Source organism: Homo sapiens, chromosome 5 (genome assembly GCF_000001405.40).
Source record: "Homo sapiens chromosome 5, GRCh38.p14 Primary Assembly".
Classification (NCBI taxonomy): domain Eukaryota; kingdom Metazoa; phylum Chordata; class Mammalia; order Primates; family Hominidae; genus Homo; species Homo sapiens.
This window is the reverse complement of record NC_000005.10, coordinates 34,904,883-34,931,632: the sequence shown is the minus strand read 5'-3', so window position 1 is coordinate 34,931,632 and position 26,750 is coordinate 34,904,883. Positions and strand designations below refer to the sequence as shown.

At 40.0% G+C, this 26,750-nt stretch overlaps 4 protein-coding genes and 1 long non-coding RNA gene across 16 annotated transcripts in view, besides 11 other annotated features; 2 read left to right on the top strand and 3 right to left on the bottom strand.

Annotated features, from left to right (window-relative positions):
* Positions 1-2,074, bottom strand: part of DNAJC21 (DnaJ heat shock protein family (Hsp40) member C21) — a 29,406-nt gene extending 27,332 nt beyond the window's left edge. For 8 of the 9 annotated variants that reach the window (XM_011513965.3, NM_001348420.2, NM_194283.4 and 5 more), the window contains exon 1: positions 1,717-2,074. In XM_011513965.3, coding sequence (XP_011512267.2) covers positions 1,717-2,074 — 358 coding nt within the window. Of the gene's footprint in view, positions 1-1,271 lie in introns of all 9 variants that reach the window. The other variant, XM_047416722.1, reaches the window with a different exon arrangement.
* Positions 945-1,590: an enhancer, noted in NCBI's record as "H3K27ac hESC enhancer chr5:34930148-34930793 (GRCh37/hg19 assembly coordinates)". NCBI's record gives its function as "activates a minimal SCP1, AML or CMV promoter by ChIP-STARR-seq in primed H9 embryonic stem cells {active_cell/tissue: H9 hESC(primed)}" and the evidence as "EXISTENCE:reporter gene assay evidence [ECO:0000049][PMID:30033119]".
* Positions 1,309-1,478: an enhancer, noted in NCBI's record as "active region_22469". NCBI's record gives its function as "activates an Ori minimal core promoter by ATAC-STARR-seq in GM12878 lymphoblastoid cells {active_cell/tissue: GM12878}" and the evidence as "EXISTENCE:reporter gene assay evidence [ECO:0000049][PMID:35858748]".
* Positions 1,619-1,818: a silencer, noted in NCBI's record as "silent region_15969". NCBI's record gives its function as "represses an Ori minimal core promoter by ATAC-STARR-seq in GM12878 lymphoblastoid cells {active_cell/tissue: GM12878}" and the evidence as "EXISTENCE:reporter gene assay evidence [ECO:0000049][PMID:35858748]".
* Positions 1,849-1,918: a silencer, noted in NCBI's record as "silent region_15968". NCBI's record gives its function as "represses an Ori minimal core promoter by ATAC-STARR-seq in GM12878 lymphoblastoid cells {active_cell/tissue: GM12878}" and the evidence as "EXISTENCE:reporter gene assay evidence [ECO:0000049][PMID:35858748]".
* Positions 1,929-2,398: a silencer, noted in NCBI's record as "silent region_15967". NCBI's record gives its function as "represses an Ori minimal core promoter by ATAC-STARR-seq in GM12878 lymphoblastoid cells {active_cell/tissue: GM12878}" and the evidence as "EXISTENCE:reporter gene assay evidence [ECO:0000049][PMID:35858748]".
* LOC124900961 (uncharacterized) lies at positions 1,952-6,121 on the top strand. Its single transcript, XR_007058731.1, has 2 exons — positions 1,952-1,984; positions 2,500-6,121. It is a non-coding gene; the product is annotated as an uncharacterized LOC124900961 (long non-coding RNA).
* BRIX1 (biogenesis of ribosomes BRX1) lies at positions 5,637-15,922 on the bottom strand. Its single transcript, NM_018321.4, has 10 exons — positions 15,736-15,922; positions 13,158-13,269; positions 11,750-11,793; positions 9,346-9,416; positions 9,045-9,094; positions 8,865-8,938; positions 8,582-8,632; positions 8,399-8,500; positions 6,658-6,786; positions 5,637-6,407 (listed from the first exon to the last, which is right to left on the bottom strand). Exons 1-10 carry the CDS (start codon positions 15,892-15,894, stop codon positions 6,138-6,140), a joined length of 1,062 nt encoding a protein of 353 aa, NP_060791.3. The 5' UTR covers positions 15,895-15,922; the 3' UTR covers positions 5,637-6,137.
* TTC23L (tetratricopeptide repeat domain 23 like) overlaps positions 5,951-26,750 on the bottom strand; it is an 86,519-nt gene continuing 65,719 nt past the window's right edge. For 2 of the 3 annotated variants that reach the window (NR_169875.1, NR_169876.1), the window contains exons 8-16: positions 13,158-13,269; positions 11,750-11,793; positions 9,346-9,416; positions 9,045-9,094; positions 8,865-8,938; positions 8,582-8,632; positions 8,399-8,500; positions 6,658-6,786; positions 5,951-6,407 (exon numbers count right to left, since the gene is read on the bottom strand). Coding sequence is in view for 1 of the 3 variants with exons in the window: in NM_001386170.1 (NP_001373099.1) it covers positions 26,039-26,102 (64 nt within the window). In the remaining 2 variants the exon portion in view is untranslated. Of the gene's footprint in view, positions 6,408-6,657; positions 6,787-8,398; positions 8,501-8,581; positions 8,633-8,864; positions 8,939-9,044; positions 9,095-9,345; positions 9,417-11,749; positions 11,794-13,157; positions 13,270-25,819; positions 26,103-26,750 lie in introns of those variants that run through there. The other variant, NM_001386170.1, reaches the window with a different exon arrangement.
* Positions 7,721-8,920: an enhancer, noted in NCBI's record as "MED14-independent group 3 enhancer chr5:34922818-34924017 (GRCh37/hg19 assembly coordinates)". NCBI's record gives its function as "activates an origin of replication core promoter dependent on BRD2, BRD4, P300/CBP and CDK7 cofactors, and independent of MED14, by STARR-seq in HCT116 cells {active_cell/tissue: HCT116}" and the evidence as "EXISTENCE:reporter gene assay evidence [ECO:0000049][PMID:35650434]".
* Positions 15,334-15,939: an enhancer, noted in NCBI's record as "NANOG-H3K27ac-H3K4me1 hESC enhancer chr5:34915799-34916404 (GRCh37/hg19 assembly coordinates)". NCBI's record gives its function as "activates a minimal SCP1, AML or CMV promoter by ChIP-STARR-seq in primed H9 embryonic stem cells {active_cell/tissue: H9 hESC(primed)}" and the evidence as "EXISTENCE:reporter gene assay evidence [ECO:0000049][PMID:30033119]".
* Positions 15,334-16,545: a biological region, named in NCBI's record as "NANOG-H3K27ac-H3K4me1 hESC enhancers GRCh37_chr5:34915193-34915798 and GRCh37_chr5:34915799-34916404".
* Positions 15,514-16,413: an enhancer, noted in NCBI's record as "active region_22468". NCBI's record gives its function as "activates an Ori minimal core promoter by ATAC-STARR-seq in GM12878 lymphoblastoid cells {active_cell/tissue: GM12878}" and the evidence as "EXISTENCE:reporter gene assay evidence [ECO:0000049][PMID:35858748]".
* Positions 15,940-16,545: an enhancer, noted in NCBI's record as "NANOG-H3K27ac-H3K4me1 hESC enhancer chr5:34915193-34915798 (GRCh37/hg19 assembly coordinates)". NCBI's record gives its function as "activates a minimal SCP1, AML or CMV promoter by ChIP-STARR-seq in primed H9 embryonic stem cells {active_cell/tissue: H9 hESC(primed)}" and the evidence as "EXISTENCE:reporter gene assay evidence [ECO:0000049][PMID:30033119]".
* Positions 16,129-26,373, top strand: RAD1 (RAD1 checkpoint DNA exonuclease). 2 transcript variants are annotated; one of them, NM_002853.4, is made up of 6 exons: positions 16,129-16,217; positions 16,672-16,938; positions 18,055-18,163; positions 19,821-20,079; positions 22,277-22,375; positions 22,685-26,373. In NM_002853.4, the coding sequence occupies exons 2-6, from the start codon at positions 16,741-16,743 to the stop codon at positions 22,866-22,868; spliced, it is 849 nt and encodes a 282-aa protein (NP_002844.1). In that variant the 5' UTR covers positions 16,129-16,217; positions 16,672-16,740; the 3' UTR covers positions 22,869-26,373. The 2 variants fall into 2 exon arrangements, 1 of the variants encoding a protein (NP_002844.1); NR_026591.2 differs by lacking the exon at positions 18,055-18,163.
* Positions 16,434-16,493: an enhancer, noted in NCBI's record as "active region_22467". NCBI's record gives its function as "activates an Ori minimal core promoter by ATAC-STARR-seq in GM12878 lymphoblastoid cells {active_cell/tissue: GM12878}" and the evidence as "EXISTENCE:reporter gene assay evidence [ECO:0000049][PMID:35858748]".

Below are 26,750 nucleotides of genomic sequence, written 5' to 3'. Positions count from 1 at the left end.
AAATTTCACAGTCCTTGGGCTAATATTCAAGATTACAAGAAATACAATCTGATTTCAAACTACTCTTGTACTCAAGAAATACAATCTGATTTAAAATCACTCTTCAGAAAATTACATACGCTTTTGGTCACAGCATTCGCTACTTCATTTACCCTTTCCCACCTAGAAAGTCAAGGAATTCCGAACTTCCTTCTAATTCCTAACTTGATTTCTAACAGTAACAACCCAAACTCCTAAGAATATGCTTCTACACTAACCCAAACTCTAAGAATATACTTCTACACTATTTTTACATTTATTAATTTTGGCTGTATCTTCTGACTTACTGCTATGATGAACATCAGTTCATTTACTTCTGCTCTTCTAATATATTTATAATCACATTTTTTCACGCCTCTGTTGGTAAGCATAACTTTAAGTAACAGACCCACACCTCTATCTCTCACTCCATCACCATAGCCATTCCCTTTTGACTTTGGGTCCCTGACCTTTCCTTCCACTCCTCTCATAATCCCTATTTTTCAGACCTGCAATACACACCACCTTCAGTCAAACTGTCCCCCGGAACATCTTTTGTCCTCCACCATGCTATCCTCCATACTGTTGAGTTCACTTTTCCAAATTGCATTCCTCTACGATCCAGTCCAAACTCCTCTGAGAAGGGGAAGACTCAATACAAAATGGTAACTCCCTCCCTGAATTCCTGGAGCATATATTAGTTGTTCCATTAATCTAACCACCAATTATGTATGTTGCGATTTTTTTCTGGCAGTTGTATTTAACTTTTCATTTGTGTAAGGCAGAAAGTTGTTTTCCTAACAAGACTCTAAGACCCCTGTCTCAGCATTTCCAAATCTACTTAGTAGAGTGCAGTGACTTGCATATATTGGATACTCTGTAACCGTGTTTACTGATGAATGCTAATATGAAAGCCTCTTCATATGAACCTCAAAAAGCTGAAAGTCAACTACTCTCTTAGTTTCCCAGCCTGGAAGATCAGATTACTTCATAAAAGTCACACAGGCCTGGATTACAGACCAATGAAACATCCAAAGGAAGGATACTTCTAAGTAAACATACAAACTTTACTGGGGAAGCCGCCTGATTAAAACCTTCCCCGGCAGAATCATGTCCAAAGTGAAGTACAAGGTCTGCTTAAACAGCTTATTAAAAGAAAAAAAAAACAGCGAAAAAAGCGCATCCCTATTGAAAAGATATTTTACTAGCTCCCGTGTCTTAACTTCTTAACTAAGAAACGAAAAGAGCCATACATCAGGTTGAAGTATCTGGGATTCCCGGACGAGGTGGAGGGCAGCGGAGGAAAAACACCGAGAGGCTGCGCTGCAAGGGACGCAGGGAAAAGCAAGCCTGGGGCAGGTCTGAGTTCCGAGTTCCCGACTGCTCCCTCGTGGTGTCTGCGACCCGGTAGCGGGAGCAAGTGAGGTTGTTGGACTGCAGTTTTCCCCCTACAGTGGCGATGCGGGGCCGGGGTCGCGGGTATGAGGAGATGGGGTGTGAGCCGGGGTGCGCCAGGGCAGAGCGCTTCGCCCACCGAGACGGGCAGGGCGGCTCCGGGCACTGGCCGGGCGGGGCAAGGAGCTCCTAGGCCGCCAGGTCCCTCTCTGCTGGCTCCGCGGAGTCCGCCCGGGGGAAGGGAAGGTCGGGGAGGGCCGGGCTTCTCCGAGTGGCCGCGGGGGCTGCGGGACAGGTACTTACCCGGGTGCCATTTCAGGGCCAGCTTCCGATAGGCCTTCTTGAGCTCCTCCTCGCTGGCGTCGCGCCGCACCCCCAGCGCCTCATAGTGACACTTCATCGCCCGACCGGGCGGGCGGCCGGCGCTGGGGCCCGGGACGGGGTCGGGGCCCGGGCCCGGGCCGAAGCGGCGGCGGCGGCGGCGCTGGCAGTCCTCTCCGGCGGGAGTCCGCCGCCCGCACCGGGCCAGCCAGCGAGCCCGGCGGCGGCGGCGGCGGCGGCGGTGGTGTAGGTCAGTGAAGGCGCGCGGTGGCGGCAGACGACGCAGGCTGCGGCAAGCGGGAGCGCGGCGGGGGCGGTGCCGGCGGCCGCCGCTTCGCATGGGCTAGGGGTGGGCTCTGTGCCGGAAAGGGCCGCGCGGGAGGGGGTGGGGCCTCGGCGGGGTGAGAGGCGAGGCCCCGAGGAAGGAAGGCGGGGCCTTGGCGAGGAGAGAGGCGGGCCGCGCAGGAGAAAGGCGGGAGCTTGGCGGGGAAAGAGGCGGGCCGCGTGGGAGGAAGGTAGGCCTTGGCCGGGAAGAACAGGAGGAAGGCGGGACCTTGGTGTGAGAGGCGGGGCCTCGGCGGGGCGAGAGGCGGGGCCGCGCGGAAGGGAGGCAGGGCCACGCTGGTGTCATTGTGAGGGGCACAGATGGCGGTCAGTGTGAGTGGCAGCCGACCTGAGGGCTGAAGGGGGAGATAGGAGCTGGGATGGGAGAGGATTCTGGAAAATATCTGATTATAATTTCTCAATGGATCCCCGTTTTTATAGATAAGGCGATTCAGACTCCAAGTGGTCAAGTGGTTGGCTCAAGCCTCCTCAGCTAATACAGTAGCAGAATTCGGTTGGACTGAATATCAGGTTTTTTTTTTAATCTCTTTAATTCTCTTCAGCTGCCACTTAAGATATCTGGTATTGATCATCTTGACCAATATGCTTGAGAAAGGACAGTTAGATTATTTAAGCGGAAACAATTTAAAAGGGAAGCATCAACACACTTAATGAAAAGCCTTACCACCAACATGGATGAAATTGTGCTGATCTATCCATCCAACACACTTTAATCCTAACTTTCTGGCCTCTAATCCTACCTTTCCAAGATTGGTTTAGGTTAAGAAAGCAGTTAAAGGATAGTATTTAACTGGTAGGTTTTGGTTGATCTGACTATCTGCACAATTATTCCAAACACTTTGAAAGGTATCAAAATAATACCATAATTATTAAAATGCATTAATACACCAATATATTTCACTGTAATGTGGAATGTTTACATGCATCAGTTAGGTGTGGGTTGTATTTACTAACCATGTATGGTTAGCTATGTTGCTAATATCTATTGCACAGGGTTGGCGTACCCAAGCGGTTTAGTAAGGTTATCCTTCTCTTCCCCAATATGCTGCCCCCAGTAAAATAAAAAACCCACGCTAAGCTTCATCAGGTTACTTCACACGCCACTGACCAACCAACTCACTACTCAGAATTCATACACTTCCCTTTTTTCCAGAGGAAGATTCTACACAGTCTCAGTTAGTTGGTAAATTGGTAATGGATAAGGATTGAGAAGTCTGAGTTTGGGGGAGAATGAAACCTTTCCCCTCCTGAGAACAGAATTGGGATGGTGGGCGGGGGGAAGGGAGGGACAAAAAAAAAAAAAAAAACGGAAAGGGAAAGTATTTTTTTCCCTCCAACTTAATTTGGAGTATTTTCTCCCTCCAACTTGATTTGGTTTTGGATACAGCCTGTAGGAATCACTTACTTCTTTTACCTTCTGAAGTAAGAAGGATTTTTGCCTGTAACATTGTATAATTAAAGGTAACTATGCTGGATATAAATTTCAGTCTAAAGGAACATCTTGACCAGGCGTGGTGGCTCATGCCTGTAATCCCAGCACTTTGGGAAGCCGAGGCAGGAGGATCCCTTCAGCCCAAGAGTTCAAGACGAGCCTGGGCAACATAGCGAGAACTTGTCTCTACAAAAAAAAAAAAAAGCCAGGCATGGTGGCGTGGGCCTGTAGTCCTAGTTACTCAGGAGGCTGAGGCAGGAATACTTGAGCCCAGGAGTTAGAGCCTGCAGTGAGCTATGACCACACCACCACACTACAGCCCTGGGTGACAGAGCAAGACCCTGCCGCTAATAAATAAAGGAACATCTTTTATTAAACTGGTGCCCTTTAAATGACCAGACTTTAGAGATGATCCATTCCAGAAGAATTCTCAAATAAGATATCCATATAATTGTGAAAGGGAATTTGAGATATAAGGATATCTCTATTATGGAAACTGTTAATTGAAAATTGTGAAATTGGAAATTACACCAAAACTCCACAATGCACACATCAAAAGTACAAGTTTGTATCTCTACTAAAACTTACAATTTGTTGATCTAGTTTATAACCTATAATTAACTTGTTCCTGAGATGTGGGTGTTTAAAAACAAATTCTGAATACGGCTGTCTTATTTTTATCCAAGACTATATTCAACTGCCTAAATAAAATAACGGCCACTTTGGTTTTTTTCCATTTAACTAGATTTGGCCCTAGTCACATACAAGTATTTCAAGTGATCCTCTCACCTGAATTACCTGCATAATTTAGATGACTTCAAGATTTCAAGTTTCCTAATTTAGACTATTTCAAGGCCAATTAAGCACTCAGGAAGGCCGTTCTTAGCAAAAAATTTAAGGAAAAAAAAACCATCAATATTGATCATTCTGCCTAAATACTTAAAATAATAAAGACATAAAATTAAAATGTAAGTGAACTAGGAAAGATCTCTATAATAAACTTACTATATAAAAGCACTTATAGAATCAGTAAAAGACAATCCTACCACAGAAAAACAAACATGATTAGTCCAGTCAAAAAGGATAAACCAGTAACTAAAAAAAAAAAAAGGTGGTTTTTTTTTTTTAACCTATTGAATTGACAGATTCTTTCATGCATAGTGAAACTGGTAAGGGGACAAGGAAATGAACCCTCTAATAGCCTCTAGTGAGGTTATGGTGGTGGAGGGAACAAGCAAAAAGCCTAGAGTTCATAATCTTTAACCTAAGTTGCACTTCTAGGAAACCAAGTGTTGTGTAAAAAGACATGTAACACATCTATATAAGTATTCACTACAAGCATCGATACCAGCAAAAAAAAGAGGAAAAACTGAAAATACTGATTACATAGCTATGGTACACAGAATACTACAGTTAACAGTTAGCAAGTAAACATGTGGAACAAACACATAGAAAAACAATCAGTGTGAAGTCAAAAAAGCAGGTGATGAAACAGCATGTGTCATTTCATTAGATATATATTTTATTGTATTTCTATCTGTCCATGTCAGCAGCCACCTACCTCCATGGTCACTGGTACTCAGAATCTTTTCTTTCCGTTACTAATTTACCCATAAGATCTTAAGCCTAGTGCCCCCTTACACAATAGGCAGTTTCTCTTTCATGTGGGGAAAAATTCAAATGTTCTGGTATCCCCTTTAACAACTGTCCTATTTTTCTCTCCTTTTACTATTAGTTTTCTAAATAAGTAATCTATACACACTGCTTCTAAAATAAGTATGTCATTTGGCCGGGCATGGTGGCTCATGCCTGTAATCCAAGCACTTTGGGAGGCCGAGGTGGGCAGATCACCTGAGGTCAGGAGTTCGAGACCAGCCTGACCAACATGGAGAAACCCCAACTCTACTAAAAATACAAATTAGTTGGGCGTGGTGGCACATGCGTGTAATCCCAGCTACTCGGGAGGCTGAGGCAGGAGAATCACTTGAACCAGGGAGGTGGAGGTTGCGGTGAACCGAGATCGCGCCATTGCACTCCAGCCTGGGCAACAAGAGCGAAACTCCGTCTCACAAATAAAATATAATAAAATAAAAAATTTACAAAGTGCTTTCAACACAGCCATTAATGCATTTGATTCTCAAAACCTCAACATTTTAATATACTCTTTTTTGAAGTGACAGATCAGGGGTTGGTTCTTCCATGGCTTCATTAACTGATGACTGAGTAAACTTCAGTGAGATGCCTTCCTTTCTACCAGTCTACTCCTACTTTACCATCCACAACCGATGCTCTTGAAGTGTTGAATGCTTTTACAAATAATATGACCTAATAAATGTCTGAATTTCAGCTTTGCTAAACCAAAAATTCCAACCCAAGAGAACAGGCTACATTAAGTGTGCTACATTTTTAGCAACACAAACTTCAAAAAGAAATCAGAAATTAACTGATGAATTCTGGTGATATTTTATTTAGAAAAAGATAATCACTGATTTTAAGATCTTAATTTTTCTTTCTTGTAAATGCTACACTAATTAGACGTAAGATAGTATTAGATAATAAAAGTATTTACACATTGAATACAAAATAAATATAAAGTAACTGAAAAACAAATCAGGTTTCCATTGACTTATTTTGTTTTCCCACTGTCCATCCTCTGTTTCATTTTTCTTTGCCTTTTGTAAATCCGTTTCTTTCTTGCTTTCAAATCAACTTTTGGCTCTGGTTTTACCCACTGTATTTCTATTGGTTTCTCCTCAGCTGGTGTTACAAAAACATCTGCAGTGGGATCATGTGGAAGAAGAGTCTTCGGCTCTTTCTTTCTCAGTTTTTGCACATCTTTCACTTGCTGTTTCTCTCTGTATTTTGCAGCTGTGATGGATCTTATGACACGCCGATGCTAAAAAAAAAAAAAAAAGATTAGATGCTTTTGAAATAAAAATAAACATTTTATATAAGGCAAAGACTTTCAGTTATGAACCATATATCCTTTCAGCCAGTGTCATGAAAAAAGGGAGTAATTTCCAAGTTTCTATGCAGCAAAAACCAAATTCAGTTTCACAGGTAATAAAACAGCAATTACTTCACAGAATCATTTTGGCCAAAGGGTTCTGGTACATTGAAGACTACTGAATGACACAACCGCTTACCATGTTTGGTGACTGGTAGTGAGGATTTTCATATAAAGTTGGTCCTCCAAAACTTCCCTGGAAAATCTTTATGAGATTTAAGACAAAACGAGGTCCTATTTCTACAAGAGCAGCATCTTCTTCTATGATCTTTAATAAAAAGGAAACATTTCATTTTGGTTTGGTTACGTTATTCCCAAAAGGTATACTGGCTATAACCTCATTATAAATGTGCCTGAAATAATTGATAATCCATAAAATCAAGGTGGGGGTGAAACTTGGTAAATGGCAAATCATCAATATTTTCTGAAATCTATTAGTACTTATAGGAAGTTGTCATGGAAAAATGTTTTTTCAGTGAGTTCTTTTAAAATTGAGTAATTAGATTTTGGTTCACATCTTGCTTGTCACAATGCATATATCCTTGAAAAACTGGTTAAACAGGATTTTAAAACAGTAACCACTATTAACAAAATGTATTAAAGCACATTATGGGGGAACTCTTGAAACTTAAATCAATCCCTAAATTGTTTTTATAAATCTAATTCAAGTTAGATTAAAAGGATATGTAGTCAAATTTATTTAATAGCTACTGATTATGGAATTAAAAGGCAACTTCCGAACAACAAATATTTATGTTATCTATTAGTTCAGGCATGTCTACCCTCAGAGGTTAGGATGATGTGTTCAACTCACATGCCAGGTATCCAATATAAAATATGCAGAAAAGAGCTCAGTTTATGTCATATACTGTCTAAAATTTTGTTCTTGCTGTTCTCTTCCACCTCTTCATCTTTCTGCACTTATCGTGCCAAACTCCTGCTTCAAGATTTCTAGAGTCACCTCCTCTTTTCTCCTGAATGAGTCACTGTGTGACTCATCATCTAACCGCTGCCATTGAATGCCTTCTAGAGCAATTACATTTTGCTAGGTCTTAACCTTTGAGGTGCTTTGAGAGAGAAACTTCTAAGCTTTGAGAGAGAAACTTCTATTTTACTGTATCCTTTACAGCACTTTCTACAAATTAGGAACCCAAGTATCTCATGGATCTTCAAGTTATTCCCTTTCTATAAAGTTAAATATATAATGGCTTATTAGGAAATCCATACTCTGTATCAACTAACAGTCATGAATAGAAGTAGGTAGAGCTCACTTAAGATATAAGACAGTACATAGTTACTTGCAGCAATCTCTTTAGGGAAAAGGAAGCTATTTAAAACAAAAGAATTATTTGCATTTTTTGTGTATGCAAACCCTGTATATCCTTATCTAAAAGTTTAACTAAAAATTGACCAGGCACAGTGGCTCACAACTGCAATCCCACCTACTCAAGATGCTGAGGAGGAATGATTTGAGGCCAGGAGGTTCAAGGCCAACCTAGGCAACACTGCGACACTCTATCTCTAAAAAAAAAAATTAGGCCGGGTGTAGTGGCTCACGCCTGGAATCCCAGCACTTTGGGAGGCCAAGGCGGGCAGATGGCCTGAGGTCAGGAGTTTGAGACCAGCCTGGCCAACATGGCGAAACCCCGTCTCTACTAAAACTACAAAAATTAGCCAGGCGTGATGATGGGTGCTTGTAATCCCAGCTACTCAGGAGACTGAGGGAGCAGAAGCTTGAACCCGGGAGGTGGAGGTTGCAGTGAGCCAAGATTGTGCCACTGCAGTCCAGCCTGGGCAACAAGAGCGAGACTCTGTCTCAAAACATAAATAAATAAACTCAATTAAAAAAAAGGTATAATTAAAAATCAAGTAAAGCTTACCTGAAAGTTCCGAAACCATATCCTATTATCCAAAATGGTGAAAGTAAACACGTGGTCCACAAATGGTTGGCTTTTGGGATGATACCGTGGTGTACTAAAGATCTAGTTAAAAAAGTGTATGTTAGTTCCTTATTCCAAGATATATCATGTATATTTTGGATAGCTAATTTTAAAGATATTTACCTGAATTAAGAGTTCTTTTAACAAAGCATAATGTGGTAATTCATCAAAAGCCTATAAAAATAAGGTAAGCATATTATTTAACAGTAGACTGCCTTGTTTAAAACTGTTTGCTCATTTGTTTCTATAACTTGGCTATAACCTCATTATAAATGTACCTGAAAGAATTGATAATCCATAAAACCAAGGTGGGGGTGAAACTAAATTGAATAACACAACTATATCTACTAAAAACAACCATGCCAGATAAGAAAATTAGACCTCATACACTGAATGAGAAACTTACAGGGTCAAAAGACAAAAGGGGCCGAGAACCTTTCAAACAGTTTCCAGTCATCTTCAGTTCAGCGAGGGTATGAACTAGAAAAATTACAACAAAAACAAAAATAGTTGTAACTTTTGCACAACTATTTCAAAAGATTACTTTTAATTTCCTCATCTAAAAAAATTTATTGAGTCAACTTACTATTTTGAACAAGGAATTTAGCAGATGGTCCGTGAGGTGAATTTGAAAGCCTGAAAGATATGGAGTAAGCTTTTTCAACTAATTAGCAAATGTAGTCAATGCTTACCACCTATTCACCATAAATAATATGCTTATAATATTTATACATTTAATTTTCTTTAAAGGTATCAAGTTTCGTGAAATCAAAAGTTTGCTTCATTCTCAACCCTTAACATGAAACACTAGGAGTCTATAACATAAAAGGTACAAAGAACAAATCCACTTAAATGAGTTTAACCAAAATCTTAATACATTCTCTTACCACATATAGAGATCCTGTTTTTTCTTAGCTTCAAAATAGATGCATTTATTACAGTTCTTCATTTCACAAACCTAAAGGAAGCAAAGTATAGGAAAATGAAGTAGATAATATAAATGAGAACTAAAGTAATTATATGTGATTAATATCATCCAGATTATCTCAAAAATACCTAACCAGGCTAATAGGCTACAAAGGCCTAAACATGTATTTATTCACAGAAGGAACCTTTAAAGTTCCTCTTAGGTATTCTACCCAAGGTAAACTAGATGCTCTGCCCATATCTTGGGTGAAATTATCTATCATATTTTTGGGCCTAGCATCTAAAATGGTCTCACTTCTGATTACTGGAAACCTCCCTCCTTTTTTTTTTTTTTTTTTTTGCGATGCAGTTTCGCTCTTGTTGCCCAGGCTGGAGTGCAATGGCACGATCTCGGCTCGCCGCAACCTCCACCTCCCAGGTTCAAATGATTCTCCTGCTTCAGCCTCCGGAGTAGCCGGGATATTACAGGCCTGTGCCATCACACCCCGCTAATTTTGTATTTTTAGTAGAGATGGGGTTTCTCCATGTTGGTCTGGCTGGTCTTGAACTCCCAACCTCAGGTGATCTGCCTGCCTCAGCCTCCCAAAGTGGTGGGATTACAGGTGTGAGCCACCTCACCTGGCCAGGAACCTCTTCTGCCCATAGTCCCATTGACAAACTACAAAGACTAAAAATAGATGCCCTACGGATAAAGCATACCACAACTAATCTTCTTATGTTAATCCTTCATAATCAATCTTCTTAGCCAATCTTATGAAAATGCAGTACTTATAGAACTAAAAACATCCTTTTTAATGATTATTTTGATTTTTAACTTTTTAGCTTTTTGATTCTAAGATCACAAAACTTAAGTTGTTCTTCATTTATACTATCATTTCTGGTGATTTGGTTCTATAAAATCACTAAGGGATTGGGTGAAAAGCCTAAGTATATCAAACCTATTTCAAATTAAACTTCAATGTCTTGAAGGCTTACAAAAGTCACACTTGAGAAGACACAAAAACATTACAGGAGTGAAGGCTTGTATTACTGTAGTATTCATAAACTCTAATTAATATAGTACTCTTAAACTCCACATTATTTAAGACTTTAAACCTAACAACTTATGGCTGGATGAGGTGGCTCATGCCTATAACCCCAGCACTTTGGGAGGCCGAGGTAGGTGAATTGTCTGAGCAACCTGGCAAAGCTCCATCTCTACTAAAAATACAAAAAATTAGCTGGGCATACTGGCGTGTGCCTGTCGTCCCAGCTACTCGGGAGGCTGAGGCAGGAGAATTGCTTAAACCCAGGAAGCAGAGGCTGCAGTGAGCTGAGATCATACCACTTCACTCCAGCCTGGGTAACAGAGAGAGACTTTTGTCTCCAAAACCAGTTAAACAAATAAACAAACCCTAACAACTTAAAAAAAAAAAACAAAACTTTTGTTTCTTACTGGTCTTAGAATAAACACAAAAATAGGAAGTTTGTGCCACTTCTGGGCTTTTGTAGTTGCCATTTTCTCTAGCTAGATGGTCTTTTACCATATTTCTCCTTCACTACGTCTCTGCTCAAATATTAAACACCATCCCTTTGAACAGGTTTTTCCGGTGTAGCCTCAGCTGTCCAAAACCTATAACCTGCTTTATTTCTCCTGTCTTTACTTGAAATTATAAACCTTGTTTATGGCCTGTCTCCATTAGAATGTAAGTTCCATAATGACAGGGACATTGCTCTGTTGAACAGTTTCTACAGCACATAGAATAATGTGGTATTACAGCAGAGGTTCAAAAATTTGTGCTCTAAAGAAGGCTAATAGTGAAAAAATGATCCTAATTCTTCTAAGTTTTGAAAATTTTGCTTTAAAATGTAAATTTATGTTCTGTGCTTCCAGAGGTTAAAAAAAATACCTAAGTGTAGTATCTTAAACAATACTTTGAAAATGTAACCTATTCAGTTTGTAATACCTTAATAGCCAGTTCCACACAAATCACTTTTAATACTGGCAAAACACTTTTTACCATGTGGGTTTTATATATATATATGTTTAATGGACTTATTTTACTTTATATATGTTGACTGATAATTTTTTGAGTACCTACTATGGATTTAGCATAATACTAGACACTACAGGGTTAAAAAATGGGACATAATCCTTCTCCTGAGGAAATTTCAATATGCTTGTTCAGACAAAACAAACAGAAATGAATGAAGCACTAAACTGTGAGAGATAAAAATTTGGAAGACCAGTTATTGAAGAGTTAATAAAATGTGTCTGAATAGTTTTTACAAAATAATTTTTAAAGTCACTGAATGACTTAGTTTTGAAATAAGCCACTGTTAACATTTTAAAAATATTTTGTTGCAATTACTTTCCAAAATTACCTCGTTAATCACAAATAGCTTATCCTTACGATCCATTTTAGTATCTAGAAAAAGAAAAAAAAGAAAAAGCAAGTAAATTAAAGGTGATTTCAAAGTTATTTCAATCAAACCACATATGCTATCCAGAAAATAAAGTGTTTTTACACTCTTCAGTTTAAAGGAGATTTTATTACTAATTTTCAAAACAAGAGCTGGAAACAATCGCTCAAAAATCTTGACTCTTTGTAAATGTAAAGAAAATAAGTAAAATATAGTCTGTAAGAATTAGAAATTATAGTGTAAGCAGTGTTTCTCAATATTTAGGTATTCTAGGAATCCTTTTCAAAAATGGGAAAATTCTCACAAACCAAAGACTGTGTTAAAGGAAACCAGTTTCAATGAAAATATCTTTCACTTTTTAATCTTAGGTGTCAAAGAAAACTGACTTTATGCCCGTGTAACAAACCTGCACATATACTCCTTGAATCTAAAATAAGTTAAAATTTTAAAAATAAAAAACAAAAAACAAAAAAACCCCAAAGCACCTCTCAACATAAGCACAACAACAGCCATATGATGGCGCTGCCACTCCACTGTTCCAAACTTTTTTTTTTTTTTTTTTTTTTTTTTGAGACAGGGTCTTGCTCCTTGCCCAGGCTGAAATGTAGTGGCGCAATCACGGCTCATGACAGCCTTGAACTCCTGGGCTCAAGCCATCCTCCTGCTTGAGACTCCTGAGTAGCTGGGACTGCAGGCAAGTGACCCCCTCACTTGGCTAATTTACTTTACTTTTTTCATTTTTTTTTTTTTTTATTTTGTAGAGACAGGGTTTCACCATGTTGCCCAGGATGGTCTGGAACTCCTGGACTCAAGTGTTCCACCCACCTCGGCCTCCCAAAGTGCTGGGATTACAGGCATGAGCTACCATGCCCGGCCATACTGTTCTTGCCTGTAAAATAACCCACTGCTTAAAAATAAATAAATAACCTGGCATTTAGAAATAGGCTCTGACTCCAACTTAAAAAGTGCTTTGAATTCTATCCCAGGTCCATTTTTCAATAAAAACAGTTAAAAAAAAAAAAAAAAAGGCCCAAAAAGCAACATGTGGCAGTCCTTAGCACTTAGGACAAACCATCCCACCTATCTCAGGACCTTCAGAAGCATTACAGTGAAGGCATTCCTGGACCTTCAAGAAATGTTTCAATAATATTAGGACACCTGTTTTAAAAAGTAAAGAATCTACCTAATGAAATCTAAAGAATTTCTTACGAAATGTTAACTGGAAAAATTGTGGCACTTGAAAGGATAAAAGGCATTGTGTTTTTTTCGTGAGAACACTGAACAAATGAAGAATATATAAAATAAGTGAAAACATAAAAATAGGTAAGTTTATAGATAGAAATTTCTAAAGTATATGATATAAAGGCACCTGCTTTAGAATGAGGCATCAACATTCTCAAGTCCTGCATTAAATGTCTTGTTCTAAAATTTATTCCTCTGGAAGAAAAGATGAGAATCCGTTCCTTATTTTTCCACTTTCCCTAAAGAAAAAGAAAATGTTAAAAGATTTTAAAATCTTATACTGAACTGATCTTGTTTTGTGACAGGGTCTCACACTGTTGCCCAGGCTGAAGTGCTCACGGCTCACTGCAGTTTCAAGTTCCTGGGCTCAAGTAAGTGATCCTCCCACCCCAGCATCTACAGTAGCTGGAGACTACAGGCATGTGCCACCATGTCCAGCTAGTTTTTTTTTTTTTTTTTTTTGTAGAGATGGGAGTCTCCCTATGTTGCCCAGGCTGGTCTCCAACACCTGGGCTCAAGTGGCTTGGCCTCCCAAAGCGCTGGGATTATAGGTAAGAACCACCGCACCTGGCCCTGTTTGTTTTTTATGAGCTTCCAAGTAGCTCATAACCAAGTCAAACCATCCTGACTCCTTTAATTTCATCTCTCACCAACATTCACTGACCACATCTGCCACCCAGAAATGCCCTCCTTGGTTTCTTTGTTTTTCAACTTCAATCTCTCCAATTCCTCCTTCCAACCCTAAAAGTTCTTTCTTAGCCCTCTTATTTCTGTGCTCTCCATGACAGATGTCTCATAATAATTTCCCACAACTCTTAATCCTTTCTTATTCACACTGCACTTACTTAGAGTCTTATATTAACTGCAAAACTCCTAAATGGCTAACCTTCCCAGACATGAGCACCTCCAATAGATATGGTTGACTAGCTTTTTCAACAGTTTACTTTTTTTGTTTGTTTGTTTGAGATGGAGTCTCACTCTGTCACCCAGGCTGGAGTGCAGTGGCGCGATCTCGGCTCACTGCAACCTCCACCTCCCGGGTTCAAGCGATTCTCCTGCCTCAGACTCCCGAGTAGCTGGGATTACAGGTGCCCGCCACTGCACCTGGCTGATTTTTTTTTTTTTGTAGTGTTAGTAGAGACGGGGTTTCACCATCTTGGCCAGGCTGGTCTTGAACTCCTGACCTAGTGATCCACCCGCCTCGGCCTCCCAAAGTGCTGGGATTACAGGCGTGAGCCACCACGCTGGACCATTTTTAAAGTAATACTTCCATCACATCCTTACTTCCCAGAGTTTTCTAAACAAAGTTCAAATGACATAGCTTTGACACTGAATTTTAAAATAGATTTTCACGTCTACATCATTATTGCCCCAAATGAAGCCTAATGCAATCCAATCTGGCTCTATTTTTTACATTTTTCAGCATTTCCCTACTTCAAAGTCTTTCATCGGTTTTTTTTTCTCCCTTGGAGTGTTCCCTCTCATTTTTTGAATGTCAAAATTCTACACTTCCTCTGATATGCAGCTTACGGGCTAAATCCTTCATGATTCTTTATCTTATTATACTAGGGTAAAAATAATCTATATCTCCTGCACTTCCATAGAATGTATCGAAGTATGGCTCAGATTATAGATACTACCTAGCTCAAGGGAAGAGTGAGAACACTAACATTTACTGGAAGTGTACAAGTCCAGCTTATTTTTCATAAAAAGTAAATATTCCCTCCCCCTGCCCCCCAATCTGCAGGTCAGAAAAGAGCACAGAATGTTGCTGTTAATAACGGGGCTAGAATTTACACTTATCTTTCATTCCACAGAGCTCACTTCTTTCTTAGAGCTTGCCATCACACCACACGGGGTCATTTACTTATCACCTACTCCGCGCTAGAGTACTATGCTAAGTGCGGAGGACGCAAAAATTAATGTCAAAGATAATCCTTGTTCACAGTATTCTGTCTAGCTTAAGAAGAGTTCTTAGTTGAATGAAAGCTAATTCTAACAACTTGTGTGCACTTCTTTTGAATAAAAACCATCAACTTATTTGAATTCTTAAGTTTCCTCCTAAACTCCAACATTTCAGGAGGAAGAGGTCACATTCTAGTCATCTTTGCAATCTCAAACCCAAAGGAAGCCTAACTTGGTACAGTGCATGGCACATTCAATGTCTGTTGAATACAAGTAAAGCTCATACTACCTAGTCTATTTTTCAGTATCTCTTGAGTTAATGACCTGGTTAACAAGTCAGAGTCACAGTCCCAAGGGCAACAACTTTTTAAAGGCTCCCCTAACGTACTTCAGGATCCCTGACTGAGAGTGGCTGACTATGGCAGTATATGGGCATACTAATCACTGGAGAAATAATAGCGAGAAATAACCAAGGAAAAGCACTACTCTCCAAAAACATTAAAAAAAAAAAACAACTGAACAACTAGTAAGAAAGAACGCTGGATCTGAGCACCCTGTAAGTCGCTTCCCCGTGGGCCGGGTAAAGGTTTTAAAACCCGCCGCCTCCAGGAAGACGGCCACGTGCACAAGGATTAGCTGCAAACTCCGTGCCCAGTCTGGCCGGGAGAATTGCTAAAACCGACCTACCGTTAACACCCGGGCTACTCTGAAATTAAGCAAGGCTGTAGTCAAGTAAGTAACCCAAGAAAAGGCGCACAGAGCCGCCGCCGCAGGTGTAGCCCGGGGACATCCCCTCCTACCTTGCAAACGGGGCCTGGGATCCGGTCCCTCTCTTCTTCCTCCACCTCCTCTGCTGTGGCGTGCCGCTTAGCTGGCGGCTCCGCATCTATTTCGTTTCTTTTTGGCTTCTTCGCCTGAACTGCAAAGCCTCCACGCCGTTTCCTCTTGGTTGCCGCCATCTTGCCTCGCCGCCCGCGCTCTTGGCCTCCTTTCCGGCGCTGCCGCTCGCTCCTATTTCCGATCTCTATGGTTCGGCGGCTCTAAGCGCTCAGCTCCGCGGTCGTCCTCCAGGTCTGTGCCGCCTCCTTCCGGTCTCGGTGGCGCGGCACGCGCGGCTCTCTAGGCCTCCTTCAGCTCTGTGGTGACGGTGGCCGAGGTGGAGGGCCGGTCTGAAGAGTGGCGGGACTGGCTTCACTTCCTCCGCGGTTCCTCGGAGCCGCCTCGCTCCTCTTCAGGGACTTTGCTGAGAAGGGCTCTCGGGCGTCCAGACCCCACCGCAAAGGTAGGGTTTCCGCACTCGGGGACCCCGAGACTAGTAAGCGATGCTGTCCCGCGGGCGGGCTGGTGAATGGGGTTGTCTGGGACTCTTGGAGGATTATCTGGACACTCCGGGCCCGCCCCGCCATCGCCTGTTTTGTTGGAGGCGGGGCTGGTGGCGCGGGCTGCACAAAACCGACTCCCCGCGGATTTGTAGCTCCTGTTTGGCCGGGAGATACCGTGTCAGTTGCGTGTCTTCATTCTTCACAACTTTTCACGTTATTGTCCTCTTACGGAGACGAGGAAACCGTAGCTTAGATAATTTTCCTCCAGAATTACAAAGATAGTTAAGTGACATAGGTGGGGTTCGGCCTGGTCAGCCGTGTTCAGCCTCCCAGCCCCTTTCCACCTCTCAGCGCAGGTGGAGCTCGCCGGACCTCGCCAGCACTGATGGGAGTTTTACTGTCTAATCCCTTCAGGTGTTTGGCGATCCGCCGAGAAGTTGTTGGCCCCAGGAGCATCCCTCGGGGCCGAATGCGCAGTGGACGATGCCCCTTCTGACCCAACAGATCCAAGACGAGGATGATCAGTACAGCCTTGTGGCCAGCCTTGACAACGTTAGGAATCTCTCCACTATCTTGAAAGCTATTCATTTCCGAGAACATGCCACGTGTTTCGCAACTAAAAATGGTATCAAAGTAACAGTGGAAAATGCAAAGTGTGTGCAAGCAAATGCTTTTATTCAGGTATGGAAGTAGGCGCCTTTAAGCCTGTGCCATAGATACTCTAAATGTAATTTAATGAAATCGGAAGGTTTCAGTAGACAAAATAACTTAATAGTCATAATAACTTGTCAATAGTCATAATAAATAACTTAATAAATAAATAATAGTCTTAAGTTAGAGAACAAAACGTCATTACTTGAATTTTTTTTCTCTCCCGGTAACAAATTCTTTTCCCATCTTGTTTTACAGAGATAATGGTTAGTAATGACTAAAGTTTATTAAACTAGGCTATTGGCTAGGCTACAGTCTTCTTATTGTTTAACTTATTTAATCTTAACAATAGTCCTGTAAGGTAGGTTCTGTTATTATTCCCGTTTTATATATGTGGAAACGAGGCACAATTTTAAGTGATTTGCCAACAGTCCCACAGCTGGTAAGTGGCTGAATTGGGATAAGAACGCTGAATATTTGTTTCCAGAATATATGCTCTTTTTTCCACTGCGATATGCTATTACTAAAGAGTATTTTTTTCCTTTACTGGTTGTAATAGAATTTTTGTTCTTCCAAAGTAATATTTGTGTGGTTCAGATAGGATTGCAAGTTCAACTAAGCGTTTTTTAACACGTAAGTGCACAGCATGATCTCAGGGATAGAGAGGTAAATAAGACACGGTTCTTGTCCTCATGCAGGGGCATGGTATGGTGGCTCACACCTGTATTTCCAGCTGCTCAGGAGACCGAGGCTGAAGCACGAAGATCGCTTGAGCTCAGGCATTAAAGACCAGCCTGGGTAATCATAGTGAGACCCCCGTATCAATAAAAAATCATAATAAAAGTTGAAACTAATGTTGCTCATGCATTATCAAGTCATTCGTCTATTTTCCAAGTGACCTTAGCAGTAGTGATAGGCACAAAAACGAGACAAGGGAGAGTCACAGAGGGATAGTTTTAGATCCAGGAATGGAGATAAGGATGCTTCAAAGGATGTCTCTAAGATGTTTTGATTGCTAATCAGAAATTATTCTCATGGGATTAGCACAGTATTGTATTTTTTAAACGTATAAAGTGAAATCTAGGACCTTATATTATTAGTTTTTATTCTTTTATGTAACAATTTTCATTTTTACTCTTTTCATAGGCTGGAATATTTCAGGAGTTTAAAGTTCAGGAAGAGTCTGTTACTTTTCGAATTAATTTAACTGTCCTTTTAGACTGTTTATCTATTTTTGGATCAAGTCCTATGCCAGGTAAACTATGATCAGTATAAAGACATAAAAGTGTTATACATAGTGGTCAGAAAAATACAGGAAGTTATTTGGAACATAAACATTGGTTCAGAAAGCTAATGCCAATTCATTTTTCAGTGGCCACAGTCATGGGTTCTAACATTTCACAATGTTAATTGCAAGTGTGTTTATAATTCTTTTCATATTTGTAAAAGTATTTGCATTTTTTTTTTAATTTACAAGGCTTTGAGGGATTGTAAATTCGAACTGGCCAAAAGAATACTTTGGACATGTCTTAAATATTTTTAGCATTGTGAAATGTTTTAATTGCTTCTTTTTCCTAACTTGTCCAGAATTACTCCGCTAGTTAGTGGCAGAGAAAAACAAAAGCCAGTTCTGACTCCTAGTTTACTATGTTCAAAATTTGTTTCTTTTAAGCCATATTTTATAAGTTATGTCTATTTTGCCAAATGATTTTGTGGTGTTTTTGAGACAGAGTTTCTCTCTTGTTGCCCAAGCTGCAGTACAATGGCACAGTCTCAGCTCACTGCAACCTCTGCCTCCCGGGTTCAAGTGATTCTTCTGCCTCAGCCTCCCGAGTAGCTGGGATTACAGGCACGTGCCACCACGCCCGGCTAATTTTTTGTATTTTTAGTAGAGATGGGGTTTCACCATATTAGCCAGGCTGGTCTCAAACTCCTGACCTCAGGTGATCTGCCCGCCTCAGTCTCTCTAAGTTCTGGGATTACAGGCATAAGCCACCGCAACCGGTTGCCGAATGATTTTCTTTAAAATATATATTTTTTTATTTGTTAAGGGAATTTTTAAGAATGGTGAAATTGAATTGCTGTGGGTATAAAACTAAGGAATCCCCAGAAGAATGATTTTATTTCATAGGAAAGCAACCTGGAGATTAGCTAGGAAAAATTCAATATAGTTCTCCAGAAAAATGTATTTTACGTTTCCACAGACAATTCCACTATTATTAATTATACATTTTCTAATACAGTGTTCTCCAGCTAGTTTTTCACAGAAGCATCTGTCATCTTCCATTCCTCACTGTGGCTCTCAATCCAGTAAGGAGAAGGAGTTTGAATATCCTGTCATATTCCTCCTTCCCTCTAGTGGTTTGCAGAGTTAAAATTTACACCACCATTAACAACCCTCTTTTTCTCTCAATTTGATTTTTAAATTCGAGGAAATATAAAGAATATCTCCCAGTTGGAAAAGTTGGAAGGATCCTTGTCATAGTGAGTACACTGACGTTACAGTACAGATGACAGCAATCCACTGTTACACACATTGAACCTTCAAGGAATAGCATACCCTGTTCTGCAGCAATTTAGTTACTTGCTGTGTTGATCCATATAGATTCTCTACCCTGAAATTGTACATATATAAAATCAACAAGCTATTTCTGAGGTGTGTATGACAACCTGAAAATGATTCCAAAGAATTATGTTACATTTTGTTCTGGTTCCCAATTTTCTTGTAGTTTTGGAATTCTCTACACACAACTGTCATCAGGGAAGATGTCATCCCTTTTTATGAGGAGATACATATATGTGAGAAATTGGGCGGAATAAATTATTCTTGAGAAATTTTATGTATCATTTCGAGGAGAAGCTGAACCCAGAACTATAAAGCTAAGGCCAAGTATGACTTCTTTCCATTGCAGGGACTTTAACTGCACTTCGAATGTGTTACCAAGGTTATGGTTACCCTTTGATGCTGTTCCTGGAAGAAGGAGGAGTGGTGACAGTCTGCAAAATCAATACACAGGAACCTGAGGAGACCCTGGACTTTGATTTCTGCAGCACCAATGTTATTAATAAAATTATTCTGCAGTCAGAGGGGCTCCGTGAAGCATTTTCTGAATTGGATATGACGAGTGAAGTCCTACAAATTACCATGTCTCCTGACAAGCCTTATTTCAGGTACTTGAGAGCAGTGCAGTTATAGTTAATGTGGTCTGTACTCCATCTTCCCACTTAGACATTTGCTTAGGATGCAAAATTTTTATTATCCACATTTTTAGAGTTTTCACAACTTTAGACAGCTTGTACTCTTACCTCATAATTTTATGGATCAAGAAACTTAAGACCCAGGAAGATTAACTCACTATTTCATATTTAGGTGGTGGTGGCATCTAGATGAGAAGCCCAGTCCTCTAATTTATAAACTGGTGGTGTTTTCATTGTACTACTCCTTACTTTCATAGATCAGGTTACATCATGAGGAAAATTGGGTTTAAGTGTTTGGAAAGGGTGTTTGTATTATGGTATCTTTTTCAAGTTAGTTCAGGATGCAGAAGAAGATGTTTTCTACACGTGGCTCATTCATTCACTAAGTATCTGTTGATCACCTACCGTGTGCTTATTCATCTTATTAAGCATTGTGGGAAGAACAGCTTAAAACCAAGGTGAAGCCAAGAAAATGTGAAACAGCAAACCATTAAGTACCAAGATAGCACACACAGATACCTGGGAAATGCTGTATAAGGATTTAGGGAGGATTGCTCAAGGCTGGCTTCCCAAGGGAGGGCAGTTTTCAGCAGGAGTACAATGTCAAAAAAGCTGTTCTTGATAGTTTAACACAAGTCTCTTTTCAGGATTAGACTCAGAGATTCTAGCAATTTAGAGAGAGGATCTAAATATTCTCTTTTTGAAATATTTCAGAATATTAAAGCCCCTAAATACATATGGAATAAAAGGAATAAGGTATTCTTTTTGTAACTACTTTAGAAGAATTACAGGCCCGGCTGTAAAAGTGCTGTGGCAGACACCTGTAATCCCAGCACTTTGGGAGGCCGAAGTGGGCAGATCACTTGAGGTCAGGAGTTCAAGACCAGCCTGGCCAATGTGGTGAAACCCTGTCTCTACTAAAAATAGAAAAATTAGTTGGGCGTGGTGGCACGTGCCTATAATCCCAGCTACTTGGGAGGCTGAGGTGGGAGAATCACTTGAACCCAGGAAGTGGAGGTTGCGGTGAGCTGAGATTGCGCCACTGCACTCCAGCCTGGGTGACAGAGTGAGAATCTGTCTCAAAAAAAAAAAAAGAAAAGAAAAAGAATCACAGGCCCTTGTCATGACTTTGGGGAGTTAAAAATTTGGCTCAAGGTCTGAGAAAGTTAACCAAAATGGAAATTGGAAACCTTACTTTAGCAGTGGAATGAAGTAAAAAATTCAGGTACTTAAAACAGTATTTCAGGGGATCTCCTCAGTGATCTCTCTCAGCCTGGGTAACGAGATGGACCATGGTATCTTTCATCTCCAGGATGGGAAACAATTTGGTGGTAGGGAGGTAGGAGTTGAAATTTTTTCCTGGATATGTTAAATTTTAAGTACCTGCGACACTAGGGAGTGGCTGGATATGTAGTTATGGTGCTCAGGAGATCCATTTAGACTGGAAATTTAGATTTGGGAACCATCATCATGGCTGGGTATGGATGAGACGGGTCAGAGAGAGAGATTATATTAGAAGAAAGAAAAGATGGACCCCAGGAAAACCACACCTGGAAGATGGGAGGCAGAAATGGAGCTTAGGGAAAACCAACCTGGATCTTATCGCCATGCTCATATAATACTTAGCAACGTGCTAATCCTGCAGCAAATGTTCCAGGAGTTCTTGCAAATTAAATCAGCATGTTAACACTTATAAATTGTCTACAAATAACTTCTGGTATTACCAAGTGAGGAAAACCATGCAATAGCCTTAAGAGCAGTCTAAGATACAGAAAAGCTGTAATTCCTAGGTGTAGGATTGGGAACAGACCTAAGGGTTGCAGTAGACTTAGATCAAGGTCTTCCATGAGTCCTCAATTCTCTCGCCTGTTATATATTTCTGACTTAAGGATGAGGAAAAGTCATTTTCAGAGTAGGATTAGGGTAATGAAATTAAAGTGTCCCCTACCCTTTTCCTTTTACAATTGATTTTCTTCAAACCCATTGATTAGTTGTCCTGAACTCCAGTGGGAGCTTTATTATGGTACTTGTTATCGTGTGTTATAAGCATTTGTGTACATGTCTGTTTCACCCACTAGTATGAATTTCTTAAGGAAGTGTTTTCTTTATTTGGATCCTAATGTGGTTTATTTTTGGATGAATGAATAAATGAGGTAATCATTTTCTATAGGTTATCTACTTTTGGAAATGCAGGAAGTTCCCACCTTGACTATCCCAAAGATTCTGATTTGATGGAAGCATTTCATTGTAATCAGACCCAAGTCAACAGGTCAGTTCTTAATATAGAGGTTGTCATTGGTGATAAAGAGGAGGTTAAATACCAGATTTCTGTTAAATAAAAACACTTTCAATCTGTTAATTAAAATGCACAGCATTTTATAAAAATGAATAGTAGAGTGCTGGACTTACTAGGGGATGTAGGGTTCTAACAGTGAATGAATTTTAAAACAGAAAATATTAGCAAATTGGATAAGTACTTGATTTTATTCTTAGATTTGCTACTTTTTATCCTTTACTTGGGAGTTCTGAGCAGTGTTCACTGTGTTGATATAACAGCGTTTTATTTTTTCTTCTACAGATACAAGATTTCCTTACTGAAACCCTCTACAAAGGCATTAGTCCTATCTTGTAAGGTATCTATTCGGACAGATAACAGAGGCTTCCTTTCATTACAGTATATGATTAGAAATGAAGATGGACAAATATGTTTTGTGGAATATTACTGCTGCCCTGATGAAGAAGTTCCTGAATCTGAGTCTTGAGTATGACAATTCACTGATATTTATGTGTACATTTATGATAGATGAAGTTCTTATTCTGAGTACAGTACTCTTTGTCATTTCATATTGGATTTTCTATAGAGAAGAAGCACAATGGGGAAGATAGGAGCAAGGTCATGTACCCTAATAGTTACTATGTTTTGTAAATCCATTTTGTAGAGGGCATGTAAATAAATGTTTTCCTGTAGTCATAGATTATTCAGGACTGTCCTTTAGTTCTGTCTTTTGAACTCATGGGAATAATTGTGAGTCAGCGTAACATTTCAAGAGTCTAAAGGTGGCCGGGTGTGGTGGCTTTAATCCCAGCACTTTGGGAAGCCGAGGTGGGCGGATCACCTGAGGTCAGGAGTTCGAGACCAGCCTGACCAACGTGGAGAAACCCCATCTCTACTAAAAATACAAAAAATTAGCCGGACGTGGTGGCACATGCCTGTAATGCCAGCTACTCGGGAGGCTGAGGCAGGAGAATTGCTTGAACCCGGGAGGCGGAGGTTGTGGTGAGCTGAGATGACGCCATTGCACTCCAGCCTAGGCAATAAGAGCAAAACTCTGCCTCAAAAAAAAAAAAAAAAAAAGTCTAAAGGCTTAAAGTTTGATGCAGCTACCTGAAATGATCTTTTATTTATTTATTATTAGAAAAAGCAAAGGCATATGGGCATTGCTTATTAGTTTGAATTCTAGAGACTAGATCTTAAAGTAGTGGTTCTCAAAGTGTTGTGCCCGCACCAACATCAGAATGGCCTGCAAACTTGTAGCAAACTCTGGGGAGGAGGCCAGCATTCTGTATTTTAACAAGCTTCCCTCAGGAGATTCTGATGCCTGCTAAATTTTGGGAACCACTGTTTTAAAGGAAACTTTTTTTTTCTTTAATAGCATTTAATTGTATGAGATGATTGCTTTTACATGTGATTTCCTTGCAAATGTTCTGAAGTTGAGGCATCACCAAACAAGTCTGAACAATTCTTTATGTGATTTATTTTTAAAGTAGACCTTTTGAAGAGATCTATGAATGGGATATAAAGCAATTTTCAGTGTTACAGGTTTTCTTCTTCTTCTCAAAACTGTTTGCTGTAAGTAACTGCAATCAGTACTTACTACTTTCCATTTGCTTATGAGTTTCTTGACAAATCAAGGTGTAGAAAACCAGTTATTAAGTGATTTTGTACTTTCCTGGTAGTTGTCACTAAAATAATTTTTGTGGCATATAAATATATTTAATAAAATGCAAAAATTATCTTCCTGTCTAGTAGAAAAAATTACATGAGTAAAGTGAAGCTTCTGTCTTTGTTACTGTACCAGGTGACAACAGCTGAGTGTCCCTCCATGGACAGTCACTATTGGCCTTTTGAGTGAGACAGTTCTTTAGGATAAAAACCTGTCATCCCATTGCAGGATTCATTTAGCCTTTCTGGCCCTTACCCACTGATGCTAGTCATTGTGACCACCCCACCTCCCCCAAATAAAAGTGTGCCAAACTATTCATTGTTGAGAACCATTCAATTGTATTCACCAAAATTGGAGGATATATTGGAATGCCCTACCTTAATATAGGTCACATAGCATTAGAGAAAATTGGTTTGGAGAGTATTACAGCAAAGTGTGCTGCAAGGAGGCTACTCCAGCACAATGGCAGGCACTGCTTCCCAGGCATATGGACAATTCTGGGAGGTGGCCAGGGTCAGCACCTGATAACTAGTAAGTGTCTCAATCTCAGCATACAAAATTTAGCAGTGACTACAAAAGAAGTTGGAATTTTCTAAAATGTTTGTATTCAAGAAGGAAACAAATGAATTTACTAAATGTTGTCAGAGTATTTTTTGTTTAGATAACCACCAAGAACAGAACAAACCTAAAAGATACTTGGGAAAATATCTAATCAGTCAACATTCTAAGGACTGTTAAATGTGAAATAGCATAGTTATTTTTTGTCTTTTGTTACTAGTGTGAACAAAGAACGGCGCCTAACATATAATGGGCATTTAGTAACTCTGTTAGATGAAAGACTCTCCAATTTCAGATTTTCTTTTAGCATCTTATTAGTCACTACTTAATTCTGATGATTTAGCTCTAAATTTATTTTGATCTCAGTTTTTTTATTTTTATTTTTGGAGACAAGATCTTGCTCTGTTGCCCAGGCTGGAGTACAGTTGTAGGATTACAGTTCACTCCAGCCTCAATCTCCTAGGCTCAAGCAATCCTCCCATCTCAGCTTCCCAAATAGCTACGACTACAGGTGCATGCCTCCATGCCCTGCTAATTTTTGTATTTTTTGTAGAGATGGGGTTTTACTATGTTCCCTAGGCTAATCTTGAACTCCTGAGCTCAAGCAATCCACCCGCCTCGGCCTCCCAAAGGGCTGGGATTACAGGCGTGAGCTATCATGCCTGGCCTAATGTATTTTTTAAAAGTTGAATCTAAAAAGAATTTAAAACAAATATAAATCAGCTCAGTAAGGATGGATATTTTTGTACATTTAAAACTATTATTTTAGGCCGGGAGTGGTGGCTCACACCTGTAATCCCAGCATTTTGGGAAGCCGAGGCAGGGGGATCATCTGAGGTCAGGAAGTTCGAGATCAGCCTGGCCAACATGGTGAAACCCCTACCTCTACTAAAAATACAAAAATTAGCTGGGTGTGGTGGTGGGTGTCTGTAATCCCAGCTACTTGAGAGGCTGAGGCAAGAGAATCACTTGAAACTGGAAGGCGGGGGTTGCAGTGAGCCGAGATTGCACCATTGCACTCCAGCCTGGGTGACAGAGCAAGACTCCGTCTCAAAAACAAAAAAAATTAAAATAAAAATTATTGTTTTAGCTGCATGTCTTCAGCTATTTAGAATTCAAAGACTAATGAATTGTTTCTAAGTCACCCTAACATCAAGGTACTTATTTTATAAAGAATTTCCTCCTTATTTGTGTTCTAATTGACCCAGGAATTTTTACTTTAATAAAAGTTTAACTTTATTTCCTATGGAAAATCACTAGGGGGAGTGCTCCCTCAGGCAGAGCAGGCGACACTTTGGTGCCACTACAAATTGATGTGTAGTATATAGAAGAATACAGTCTTATATTTAAAGACTTTTAGTTCTGTCTTTTTGAAGTTTATCTCTCTTTCTAGTAAAATGGTGCTTACTGTGAATGGATAATCTTTTTTTTCATTTTTCATTTGTTGATTTCCCATTCGATGATGTAGTGCTTCCACCGAGAATTGATGAAATGCTTCAAAATAATAAAAGTATTTGTTAAATTCCACTTTAATAAAAATAAGGCATGTAACACAGTCATTTTAACAGGAAGCCACAGGGTTTCTGTGGTGTTACCAAAGTCCTAGTAAAAATTAATTAAAATTGCTAAAAGGGCAGAATGTGGCACTCTCAACAGTGGGGTAGGCAGTCCTTCAGAACATAGAGACTTCCTTCTTTCCTTCCCTGTCTTCACATTGCTTGTCCCTTATCCCCACCTGAAATAAAATCTATTGGGTCCTGAGAAATCGGAGTGTATAGTATTTTTTCTTTTCCCAATTATGTTTGTAATTTGCTTTCATTCTCTTTGGAATAGGCAGTGCTGCTTTTATACTAGAATCAGGTTACAAGCACCCCAGGAGGAGTCATTAGCTTTAACAGAATTTCCCTCTCAGGAGTGGACAGCTAGTGTTCTAAACAGAAACACCAAAAGCAGCGGTTTCAAGTGCTTTTCGTATCTGTATCTCAGTCACGTCCAGAGATTTCGATAATCAGCAGAGTAAATGTGTGAAATATATTTTTGAAATTCATAGCTTGTTGATCATTATAATAGATACTAGTAGTGGCTCTCACTGGCAAAACTAGAGGTATTCAGGATATGTGAACTTACTAAATTATTTCAGAG

Bases quoted from the DNA above. Each gene is read 5' to 3' on its own strand.
- BRIX1 (NM_018321.4), bottom strand. From the start codon at position 15,894: ATGGCGGCAACCAAGAGGAAACGGCGTGGAGGCTTTGCAGTTCAGGCG. The intron at 8,633-8,864 runs GTAAGTTTCTCA...TTATTTTTATAG, and splicing joins CCCTTTTGTCTTTTGACCCT to GCTTTTGATGAATTACCACA. The intron at 6,408-6,657 runs GTAAGCGGTTGT...TTTTTTTTTTAG, and splicing joins ACTACCAGTCACCAAACATG to CATCGGCGTGTCATAAGATC.
- RAD1 (NM_002853.4), top strand. From the start codon at position 16,741: ATGCCCCTTCTGACCCAACAGATCCAAGACGAGGATGATCAGTACAGC. The intron at 20,080-22,276 runs GTACTTGAGAGC...CATTTTCTATAG, and splicing joins CCTGACAAGCCTTATTTCAG to GTTATCTACTTTTGGAAATG. The intron at 22,376-22,684 runs GTCAGTTCTTAA...TTTCTTCTACAG, and splicing joins AATCAGACCCAAGTCAACAG to ATACAAGATTTCCTTACTGA.